The sequence below is a fragment of the Homo sapiens genome, chromosome 8, assembly GCF_000001405.40.
Source record: "Homo sapiens chromosome 8, GRCh38.p14 Primary Assembly".
In the NCBI taxonomy this organism is placed as follows: domain Eukaryota; kingdom Metazoa; phylum Chordata; class Mammalia; order Primates; family Hominidae; genus Homo; species Homo sapiens.
Genome location: NC_000008.11, coordinates 51,435,128 through 51,447,576, shown reverse-complemented (window position 1 = coordinate 51,447,576; position 12,449 = coordinate 51,435,128). Strand labels below are relative to the sequence as shown.

Genomic DNA, 12,449 nt, shown 5'->3' with positions numbered 1-12,449 from the left:
TTTTAAATGTATTTTAATCACGTTATTGTATTCCAAATATTGCATACACATGATAAACAACTGTCACGAAGATATCTGAAAATCAAATTTAAGAATCAGATTGGTTTTGAAATTTGCTTTCTGATTATAGTAAGGCCGAGGGGCACAAACATGAAGATTAAAAATTCATTAGGAGGCTGGGCTGTTCTGGTGACAGATGAGAATTCCTTATGATACAGTGGCAGAGTTTCGGGGACAAGCGGCATGGGGGTGCTGTGTTTCTGGGGTTGCAATCCTAGGGCACAACGCACACAGTACACCCTAGCACCGAGAATTTCCTGAAAGACAGGCCTCACCCTTTAGCCAGGACAGCCAGCAGCTCTGGCTTTCAGTGCTCTGGGCCATGAAGAATACTTTCTTTACCTCTTTTTGCAGGAGGGCAGCTCCCTGTGGAAGGCCAGCATACAGTTCTCTCCTCTGGCACTTTGAGAATTGACCGTGCAGCACAGCACGATCAAGGCCAATATGAATGTCAAGCAGTCAGTTCGTTGGGGGTGAAAAAGGTGTCTGTGCAGCTGACTGTAAAACCCAAAGGTAATATATACTGTGATTCATATTCACATTCTGAAGTGTGCCTTCTGCCTGTGTCTTTAACACACCTGACAGGGATCTTATGACATATATGACTATATATATATATATAGTCATATGATCTAAGAAATGCAAATTTGATATCTTCTTCCAATCAGTCTTTTATATAACTTCAGTTTTTAGAATTCTATTTTCATTCATACTAATTATGATTATGTTTTCCTTAAAAATGCCATTTCAGGTTTTCTTACAAAATTTTTTACAATTACTATGATTAATTAGTCCTACTTGCCTAGACTGTCTTACAAAAGAATGCAGCTTCTCGGCCTGACGTGCTGAATCTCACTCTGACACTGAAGTATGTTTTATGCTGAGTGGTATTAGGAATACAGTGAAGACACTCCCCTTCAGACTCTTCATGTGACAACTGTACTTAGGTTTATCCTACATAATATATATTGTGGAATGAGATTGTGTTATTCATCCATAATTTATTGTCAACTGATATATAAAAAGGGAAAAAAATCAAGATTTGAATTTTTAAAGATAATTCCAATATAAAAATGAAAAATGGTTGTTATTAATTACTGCTGAAATTTTTTCTTAGTTTCTGGCTTATGGTGAAATGATGGAACTTAATTACAAAATGCATAGCACCTAAACTGCGTTTTCAGCACTGCTTTACATTTTGATATAATTTCCTAAGTCTCTCCACAATTTGCTACAATTTGTTCTGACGTATTAGATCTCAATTCAGAGGTAACATATATTGATGAGAGCATAGGAGAAGGAAAAGCAAAGCTCTGCTGCATGCATCAACGTAGGTGTGAGAAGAAGCACTGGGAATGCTGACATGTTCATGATGCCTGAACACAGATGAAGGCCTACACTGAGCTACTGTCTACATATGGTCTGTTAGCAATTACTTTCCCCTTATATTTTAGACATATTAAATGTTTTTTTTAAAAAAGAAGTTGAGGTTCCCTTATATTTTAGACATACTAAATTTTTTTTTTTTTTAAAGGAAGTTGAGGTTCTACGGGGGGGAAAAAGGATTGTAGGGAAGATATGAAAATAGCAACTCAAACGAGTGGGAAGATTTGAAAATACAATTGTGGAAAGGTGTCAGGCTATGACGTGCCCTGGCAAACCTTTCTGTCTAAGAGGAAATACCAAAAGCTTGTCTGCAGAATGTTTCAAACTACTTTTGAATTGGTGTTCAACTAAAATCCAAAAATTAGGTGGTATTTACATTATATCTTTTAAAATGGGACCAATAGTAAGTCCACACATATTATTAAAACCAAATATGAGGTAAGGACACTAAAGAGCCTCATCTTGATTTTTCCCTGTTGCCAAATCCTTTCACTTGACTTGCTCCTGTTGATGCTTTAGATCTCAATCTAGAAGCCACTTCACTTCCCTATGGAGGCTTCGTCGACTCTCTAAGACCACTGTAAGTTGCCCCTGTTGAAATTAGTGTTAGAATACACCATTTAATCTAGGAGTTGACATATGTAGAAGAATTTGATAAATCTACTACATATCCGTAGGTGAGAAAATACCACTAGCAATTGGCATGAATATGGAAGCAAACAAGTGTTTTAGAGAACAAAGAGCCCTAAGTGTGGCACCAGATTTTGTGAATGGTGGCAGGTGAGAGCCATATGGAAGGAGTTAGTTGGGATTGTTGGTTGAGTTGGAACACACCAGATCTAGACTTCAGACTATAGAACTATTGAAAGTCTTGATCAGATCGATTATTCAGAATATTCATTAACCTGGGGCGAGCGTGGTGGTTGCTCACACCTGTAATCCCAACACTTTGAGAGGCTGAGGCTAGTGGATCACCTGAGATCAGGTGTTCGAGACCAGCCTGGCCAACATGGTGAAACCCTGTCTCTACTAAAAATACAAAAATTAGCCAGGCATGGTGGCATGTGCCTGTAGTCCCAGCTACTCGGGAGGCTGAGGTGGGAGGCTGAGGAGGGAGAATCGTTTGAACCTGGGAGGTGGAGGTTTCAGTGAGTCAAGATCATGCCACCGCACTCCAGCCTGGGCAACAAAGCAAGACTCCATGTTGAAAAAAAAAATAGAAAAATAATATTTGTTAACCTAAAGAGGATAGGATAGGTTGGAGTGGAGAAAAATGAAAGTCAGAAACCACGGGAGCTACTACTGTCACCAAGTGACACGTTATGAGATCTATAAACTAGGATCACAGTGGTGGGAATGGAAGAGTGAATTAATTCAAGAAAAAGTATAGCAGGTTGAATCATTTTATCTCTGAGATTATGAGGAATATTTTTCCCCCCAGTACCTGTTCCCAGTAATACTTTGCAGAACCTTCATCTGTTTCCAGCTAAGGAATCAGCTTCCTTAACTATATTTTGGGCATATTGCACATGAATTTCATGTGCTATGACAGTCTTATTCTGCCTAAGGTGTCTTAGTTTTGAATTTCCTTCGGGTATTAGGTGATTTTTTTACTATGAAGAATCAGATACTATTTTATTTAAGGAATGTTCTCTTGAATTAATTCTTTTAATATCACTTCTGTCTCATTATTTGTTTCTTTTTGGGGAACCTCCACATTTTGTGTATGTTGCAGTACTTCTCAAAGTGTGTTCTGTGGTTGCTGGTTGAGGGAGATCCAGAGACCCTTGAGGGGGTTTCCTAGGTTAAAACTTTCTCATAATAGTATCAGTAATTTGCCTCTTCACTGGGTTGAAATTTGCGCTGATGGTGCAAAAGTCATGGTGGGTAAATCTGCTGGAGCCTCAGCCTGAACCAAGACAGAGGGTGCCAAATGGTAGGAGTATATCATTATATCCTTTGTTTGTAGCAGAAAGTAAAAAAGAAAAGTAATTTTACTTGATGCTGTTATTGATGAAACAGGGGGAAATATTACTTTTATTAAATCTTGACCTTTACATACGTATACTTTCAGTAGTTTGTGTGATAAAGGAAATGTCAAAAGAAGCTACCTAAAGTTAAATGATAAGTAAAGTTAAATGATGAGTTACTGGGTGCAGCACACCAACATGGCACATGTATACATTTGTAACTAACCTGCACATTGTGCACATATACCCTAAAACTTAAAGGATAATAAAAAAAAGAAGCTACCAATTGTCAAATTTTGGTATAGCATAAAGGAATGTTTACAGTTATCTGAAAAATCTTTAAAAATACTCCTATACTTTTGAAAACATGTCTTTGTGAGGTAATATTTTATTCATAGACTTCAACCAAAACAACTAATTGTAAGAGATTGAATTTGAAAGCAGTTCTTCTACTACTGAGATTTGTAAAACAATGCTACTCTACTCACTACTTTTTTGTAGAAAATATAATTAATTTTCATAAAAACATGTTATTTAAAAATGCCATGAGTTTATAATTGTAATTTTAAAATGAACACATAAATTTTTAAATTCTCAGTTTTAGTTCCCAATGCAGTAAGCATAGCTACATGTAAGCCATGTAAATAAAAGCTCTTAGTGCTTGTCAATAATTTTTAAAAGTAAAGGGTTCCTGAGGCCAAAATGATTGGGTGCCACTCATCTGTTGATCTTCTTTGCCCAATTTCTAGCTCTCTCTCTTTCTCTTCAATCCCTTTTAGCTCTTTGTTTTCAGAGCATTATGAAAACATAATGAAAAAAGAGCTGGCTTTTTTCGTATCTGTCTTCATATCCCTCATGTGTTTTTGACAGTGTCTTTTCACTCCAGAGATGCTTCTAACCCTTACTTATGCATTTTATTTTTTCCACTAGTATTTTGGATAATTATATGCAAATATTTGTAAGCAATGAATAAAATTAGTAATTTTACAGAAAAATGTAACTAATGAAAATTTATGTCAAAAGAGAGAGAAATCTAAACAGAATGTTACAAGGAGAAAACAAGTTGCCAGAGATCAGAACAGAACAGATACTCAAATTATGACTCTCTGGCATGGCTGTAGAGGTTGTTAATTATTCCACGTGTTAAACCTGTGGAAGAGCTACCTTTACTAAATCATGTGGTCAGGTGCTTTTCCAGGAGGAACTATCATTCCTTTAAATAACATTTCCAATGTTACTTAAATTGCTTAGAGAATTAGAAAATAATTAATGCCATAAGGTATTTTTTAAAAACAAGCATAATCTTGATAATAAAACTCTAAGAATTAATTAAAAATAAAAAAAGCAAAGCCCTTGCGTATCCACACGAAAATACAAAATGAAAATAAATAAATGTAATCATAGATATCAAAGAATCCAGTAGCACATTAAAAACATTAGTGGTATTTATTCCAGAAATTTAAGAACAAAAGAGTAGTAGAAAAGAATATATTTTATTAATTAACATATTTTATATTAATAGATTTAGGAAGAAGAATCATGAGTATTTCCATAGCTACTAAAAAGGCATTTGTTAAACATTCAACATTCATTCTCATCAAAAACTCTTCATAACATAGGTCTGAATAGATATTTCTTTAACATGATAAAATAGGTCTACTGAACTCATTAGCTAGAATCTTGCTTAATCAATAAATGAGATAATATTTTCATAAAGAAAGGAACAGACCAAAGATTTCTACTGTCATCACTGTCATTTAACATAGAGTTGAGTGATAAGTCATCAACATTAGGTAAGATATGCAAGAAAGAATAACCAAGAAAATTCTGAAAAAGAACCAGAATCAAGGAGGGCTAATCATACTAGATACTGAAACACATGATAAACCTACAATAATTAAAATGTACCCAGACAGTATATTAGAAAACAATATGTAACCCACAAATTTGTTCCATTTTATCTGGGAATTAATGTGGGAAGAAGGTATCATTTTCTGTCAGTAAAGAAAGCAACTCAATAATAAAAGAGTTGGGAATAATAACTCAGTAGACATATGGAAGAGTGACCCTGGGTCCATGTCACATGGGTTTTGTTCTGGAGGTGTCCTTCCCAATAAGGGTACAGAAAAAAGGAGAAGAAAAGCCTGCTGACTGGAAGCCAGCAGTGTGGCGACCTCTCCTTCTGTTGCTTTGTGGCCTTATTTGGTCATCAGGGTGCTCTGCGTGGCCAGCCCCCAGGCTTCATGTGTGTATTATTCAGAGGCCATATTGAAGTCCTCCCAGTACTCTATTCCCTGATGTGGGACATCCAGCTCCAGCATTTGGTCTTTCAGCCAATCTTACCTCCTCTTAGAACCAACCCCAGCTAATAGGGTTTCCTCATTCAATGGACAGTCCTACAGGGCATTTATTACTTGAAAGATAGCTTAAGTCACCATTTTCTATGGATACCACTAACCATCACAGTGATCAAGCTGTAATCATCACAGTGATCTATCTGTGTACCAGTACTGAGGGACTTCAGAAAGTTCATGGAGAATGTATATTAGGAAAAAACTGTGCATTGATTTCAATTTTTTTTGCACTAAAATAAATTGGCACTGACTTGTTATAGCATGTCACATTGCCATGCTGCTCTGTCTCTCAGCTCTGCCTTTGCTTTCTAGTTCTCTGCTGCTGTTCACCTCTACCATGTCATCAAGTCCACTGACCAAGCAGACATCTAACTAGGGAAGTAATTGCTAGTCTCCGCTTCTGTGTGACACTTTCAATTTGAAGGGAGGCAACTCTCTTCTCCATATACAAGAAAATGAAGGACCTTGTATTAGTCTGTTCTCCTGCTACCATGAAGAAATACCTGAGACTGGGTAATTTATAAAGAAAAGAGGTTTAATTGGCTCACAGTTCTGTATGGCTGGGGAGGCCTCAGGAAACTTACAATTGTGGCAGAAGACACCTCTTCACACGGTGGCAGGAGAGAGAATGAGTGCCGAGCAGAGGGGGAAGCCCCTTATAAAACCATCAGATCTCGTGAGAACTCAATATTACTAGAACAGTATGGCAGAAACCACCCCCATGATTCAATTATCTCCACCCAGTCCAGCCCTTGACACGTGGGAATTATTACAATTCAAAGTGAGATGTGGGTGGGGACACAGAACCAAACCATATGAAGTCTCTTCCCCTCAGCACTGCACTGCCCAAAAACATGGGTCCCTCTCTCCCACAGTCACCTGGACAGGCTCTGGATCTGCTCAGTAAGCCCCACAGGGGAGAGGCAGTGCAATCCTGCTGGCCCTCTGCACCTCATGGCTGGGACACATCTCACTCTTCTCCCTGTGCCATAGGCCCTAGCAGCAACACTAAGACAGCTGGAAAAGCCCCCTTAATACCCTGCTGTGTTTTCAGGCCCTTCCTGGTCTCAGGTATTTCTCTGTGTCCCAATTCAGACTCAAATGTGTAATTTCCTTCCTAGATAGATACTTTAGCTATTTTTTAATTTTAAAATATATTTTGTAAGCAGAAGGTAAATATTGAATAAATTTGCACCATCAGTAAGTAAGGGTAACATGTGTTGTGAGCTATGTAGAGTGTTGTGGGATAGCTGCAATGTGGGAGAGCTTTCATGGATGGTGTGGACTCATTCATGATGTTTCACTGGTAATATCCCCAAAGGTCACTGCCACATGAATTATTATTATTATTATTATTTTTCAATGGATTTTTTTAAATTTCAGTAGGTTTTGGGGGAATAGGTGGTGTTTGGTTACATGAATAAGTTCTTTAGTGGTGATTTCTGAGATTTTGGTGCACCCATTACCCAAGCAGTGTACATTGTACCCAATGTGTAGTCTTTCATCCCTCACCACCCTCCCATCCTTTCCCCCGAATCCCCAAAGTCCATTGTATCATTATTATCTCTTTTCATCCTCATAGCTTGGCTCCCACTTATGAGTGAGAATGTAAGATATTTGGTTTTCCATTCCTGAGTTACTTCACTTAGAATAATAGTCTTCAATTCCATCCAGGTTGCTGCAAATGCCATTATTTCATTCCCTTTTATGGCTGAGTAGTATTCCATGGTGTGTGTGTGTGTGTGTATATATACATATATATATATGTATATCTGTCTCACAATTTCTTCACCCACTTGTTGATTGATGGGCATTTGGGCTGGTTTCATATTTTTGCAATTGCAAATTGTGCTGTTATAAACCTGCATGTGCAAGTATCTTTTTGGTGCAATGACTTCTTTTCCTCTGGGTAAATATCCAGTAGGGGAATTGTTGGATCAAATGGTAGTTCTAGTTTTAATTCTTTTTTTTTTTTTTTTTTTGAGATGGAGTCTGACTTTGTCACCTAGGCTGGAGTGCAGTGGTGCGATCTTGGCTTACTGCAACCTCTGCCTCCAGGGTTCAAGCAATTCTCCTGCCTCAGCCTCCCAAGTAGCTGGGATTACAGGTGTGTGTTAACATGCCTTGCTAATATTTATATTTTTAGTAGAGACAGTTTTTCGCCCTGTTGGCCAGGCTGGTCTTGAACTCTTGGCCTCAAGTGATCCACCTACCTCAGCCTCCCAAAGTGTTGGGATTACAAGCGTAAGCCACCACACCCAACCTGTACTGTTAATTCTTTAAGGAATCTCCACACTCTTTTCCATAGTGGTTATACTAGTTTACATTCCCACCAGCAGTGTAAAAGTGTTCCCTTTCCACTATATCCATGCCAACATCTATTATTTTTTTATTTTTTTGATTATGGCCATTCTTGCAGGAGTAAGGTGGTATCACATTTTTGCTTTGATTTGCATCTCTCTGATCATTTGTGATATTGAGCATTTTTTCATATGTTTGTTGGCCCTTTGTATATCTTCTTTTGAGAATTGTCTATTCATGTCCTTAGACCACTTTTTGATGGATTGTTTGTTTTTTTCTTGCTGATTTGTTTGATTTCCTTGTAGATTCTGGATATTAGTCCTCACTGGATGCATAGATTGCAAAGATTTTCTTCTATTCTGTGGGTTGTCTGTTTACTCTGCTGATTATTTCTTTTACTATGCAGAAGCTTGTTATTTTAATTAACAACCATTTATTTATCTTTGTTTGTTTTGCATTTGCTTTTGGATTCTTGGTCATGAAGTCCTTGCCCAAGCCAATGTCTAGAAGGGTTTTTCCCGATGTCATCTTCTACAGTTTTTATGCTTTCAGGTCTTAGATTTAAGTCCTTGATCAATCTCGTGTTGATTTTTGTATAAGGTGAAAGATGAGGATCCAGTTTCATTCTTCTCCATGTGGCTTGCCAATTATCCCAGCACCATTTGTTGAATAGGGTATCCTTTCCCCACTTTACGTTTTTGTTTGCCTTGTTGAAGATCAGTGGGCCATAAGTATTTGGCTTAATTTCTGGGTTCTCTATTCTGTTCCATTGGTTTATGTGCCATTTTTTTTTGATGGAGTCTTGCTCTGTTGCCCAGGCTGGAGTGCAGTGGCACAATCTCGGCTCACTGCAAGCTCCATCTCCCAGGTTCACGCCATTCTCCTGCCTCAGCCTCCTGAGTAGCTGGGACTATAGGCACCCGCCACCATGCCTGGCTAATTTTTTGTATTTTTAGTGGAGACAGGGTTTCACCATGTTAGCCAGGATGGTCTCGATCTCCTGACCTCATGATCCGCCTGCTTTGGCCTCCCAAATATGTGCCTATTTTTATAACAGTTCCATGCTTTATTGGTGACTATGACCTTATAGTATAGTTTGAAGTCAGGTAATGAGATGCCTCTAGATTTGCTCTTTTTGCTTAGTCTTGCTTTGGTTATGTGGGCTTTTTTTGCTTCCATATGAATTTTAGAATTGCTTTTTTTAGTTCTGTGAAGAATGATGGTGGTATTTTGATGGGAATTGCATGAATTTTTAGACTGCTTTTGTCAGTATGGTCATTTTCACAATATTGATTCTCCCCATTCATGAGCACAGGATGTGTTTCAATTCATTTGTGTCATCTATGATTTCTTTCAGCAGTGTTTTGAAGTTTTCATTATAGAGCTCTTTCACCTCCTTGATTAGGTATACTTCTAAGTAGTTTATTTTATTTTATTTTTTGCAGCTATTGTAAAAGGAGTTGAGTTCCTGATTTGATTCTCAATTTGGTTGCTCCTGTATATACCAGTGCTACTGATTTGTGTACATTAATTTTGTATTCTGAAACTTTGCTGAATACATTTATCAGTTCTAGGAACTTTTTTGAGGAGCCTTTAGGGTTTTCTAGGTATACAATCATATCATCAGCAAACAGTGAGTTTGATTTCCTCTTTACTCATTTGGATGGCCCTTATTTCTTTCTCTTGTCCAACTGCTCTGTCTAGGACTTCCAGTACTATGTTGAATAGAAGTAGTTCTGAGGGATAGTGCCGTCAACTTTTCTCCATTCAGTATTATGTTGGTTGTGGGTTTATCATAGATGGCTTTTATTACCTTAGGATATTTCCCTTCTATGCAAATTTTGGTGAGGGTTTTAGTCATAAAGAGATGCTGGATTTTGTCAAATGCTTTTTCTGCATCTATTGATATGATCATGTGATTTATGTTTTTAATTCTGTTTATGTGGTGTATCACACTTATTGATTTGCATATGTTAAACCATCTGTGCATCCCTGGTATAAAACCCACTTGATCATGGTGGATTATCATTTTGATATGCTGTTGAATTTGGTTAGCTAGTATTTTGTTAAGGATTTTTGCATCTATATTCATCAGGGATATTGGTCTGTAGTTTTCTTTTTCTGTTATGTCCTTTCCTGGTTTTTGGTATTAGGATGATACTGGCTTCATAGAATGATTTAGGGAAAATTCCCCCGTCTCTGTCTTGTGGAATAGTGTCAATAAGAGTGATACCAATTCTTCTTTGAATGTCTGATAGAATTCAGCTATGAATTCTAGACTTTTTTGTTGACAAATTTTTTATTACTGTGTTAATCTCACTACTTACTGTTGGTCTGTTCAGAGTTTCTATTTCTTCCTGGTTTAATCTAGGAAGGTTGTATATTTCCAGGAATATATCCATCTCCTCTAGGTTTTCTAGTTTGTGCACATGAAGGTTTGCATAGTAGCCTTGAATGATCTTTTGCATTTCTGTGGTATTGGTTGTAATATCTCCTGTTTCATTTCTAATTGAGCTTATTTGGTTCTTTTCTCTTCTTGGTTAATCTTGCTAATGACCTATGAATTTTATTTATCTTTTCAAAGAACCAGCTTTTTTTTCATTTATCTTTTGTAATTTGTTTGCTTCAATTTCATGTAGTTCTGCTCTGGTCTTTGTTATTTCTTTTATTCTGCTGGGTTTATATTTGGTTTGTTCTTCTTTCTCTAGTTCCTTGAGGTGTGACCTTAGATTGTCTGTTTGTGCCCTTTCAGACTTCATGGTGTAGGCATTTAAGGCTATGAACTTCCCTCTTAGCGCTGTGTTTGCTTTATCCCAGAGGTTTTAATAGGTTGGGTATTATTGTTCAGCTCAAACAATCTGAAATTTCCATCTTGATTTCACTGTTGACCCAGTGATCATTCAGGAGCAGATTGTTTAATTTCCATGTATTTGCATGGTTTTGAGGGATCCTTTTGGAGTTGATTTTCAATTTTATTCCACTGTGGTCTGAACAGTGGGATCACATGGAAGAAGGATCTTTGGCTCTTTCTTTCTCAGTTTCTGCACATCTTTCGCTTGCTGATTCTCTCTGTATTTTGCAGGTGTGATGGATCTTATGACATGGCAATGCATTTTTGGTGCCTGGTAGTGAGAATTTTTATATAAAGTTGGTCCTCCAAAACTTCCCTGAATAATGTTTATGAGATTTAAGACAAAACAAGGTCCTATTTCTACAAGAGCAACACCTTCTTCTATGATATAAAACTTCTGAAACCATATCCTATTATCCAAAATGGTGAAAGTCAACACATGGCCCACGAATGGTTGGCTTTTGGGATGATACCACGGTGTACTAAAGATCTGAATTAAGAGTTCTTTTAACAAAGCATAATGTAGTAATTCATCAAAAGCTGGGTCAAGACAAAAGGGGCAAGAACCTTTCAAAAGGTTTCCAGTCATCTGTAGTTCAGCTAGGCTATGACTATTTTGAACAAGGAATTTAGCAGATGGTCCATGAGGTGAATTTGAAAGCTACATAAAGAGATCCTGTTTTTTTCTTAGCTTCAAAGTAGATGCATTTATTACAGTTTTTCATTTCACAGAACTCACTAATCTCAAATTATTTATGCTTACGATCCATTTTAGTATCTGCTTTAGAATGAGGCATCAACATTCTCAAGTCCTGCATAAAATGTCTTGTTCTGAAATTTATTTATTCCTCTGGAAGAAAAGATGAAAATCCATTCCTTGTTTTTTCACTCCCCCTTGCAAACGGGGCCTGGGATCCAGTCTCTATCTTCTTCTTCCACCTCCTCTGCGGTGGTGCCCAGCTTAGCTGGCTGCTCCGCCTCTTTTTCGCTTCTTTCTGGGTTCTTCGCCTGAACTGCCACGCCTCCATGCTGTTTCCTCTTGGTTGCCGCCATCTTGCCTCCACATTAATTATTTGTTCTCATTATCTACATCTTCTATTTGTAAAGAAAATTTTATTTAATCTGAAAAATTCCCCAAATTTATTACTTTTTTTAAAAATTTTAACTTGTTTATTTCAGCCATTCTACCAGGCTGCAACGATACCTTTCCATTCTTGACTGGAGTCCAGTGTAATTATTTTCTCTTCCAAATATGTTGCATCTAAAAAACAAACAAACAAACAAAAACAAGCAAACAAAAAACACTGATGAGGACTTTTTTTTTTTAGTTTTTTGAGACAGAGTCTCGCTCTATCACCCAGGCTGGAGTGCAGTGGCGTGATCGTGGCTCACTGCAACCTTCACTTCCCGGGTTCAAGTGATTCTCCTGCCTCCGCCTCCTGAGTAGCTGGGATTACAAGCATGTGCCACCATGCCTGGCTAATTTTTTTTGTGTTTTTAGTAGAGAAGGAGTTTCACCATGTTAGC

At 37.5% G+C, this 12,449-nt stretch overlaps 1 protein-coding gene and 1 pseudogene across 9 annotated transcripts in view; one reads left to right on the top strand and one right to left on the bottom strand.

Annotated features, from left to right (window-relative positions):
* Positions 1-12,449, top strand: part of PXDNL (peroxidasin like) — a 489,869-nt gene that overhangs the window by 361,869 nt on the left and 115,551 nt on the right. For all 9 annotated transcript variants that reach the window (XR_007060701.1, XM_047421364.1, XM_047421365.1 and 6 more), the window contains one exon: positions 415-573. Coding sequence is in view for 8 of the 9 variants with exons in the window: in XM_047421364.1 (XP_047277320.1) it covers positions 415-573 (159 nt within the window). In the remaining variant the exon portion in view is untranslated. The remainder of the gene's footprint in view (positions 1-414; positions 574-12,449) is intronic.
* BRIX1P1 (BRIX1 pseudogene 1) lies at positions 11,058-11,983 on the bottom strand (annotated as a pseudogene).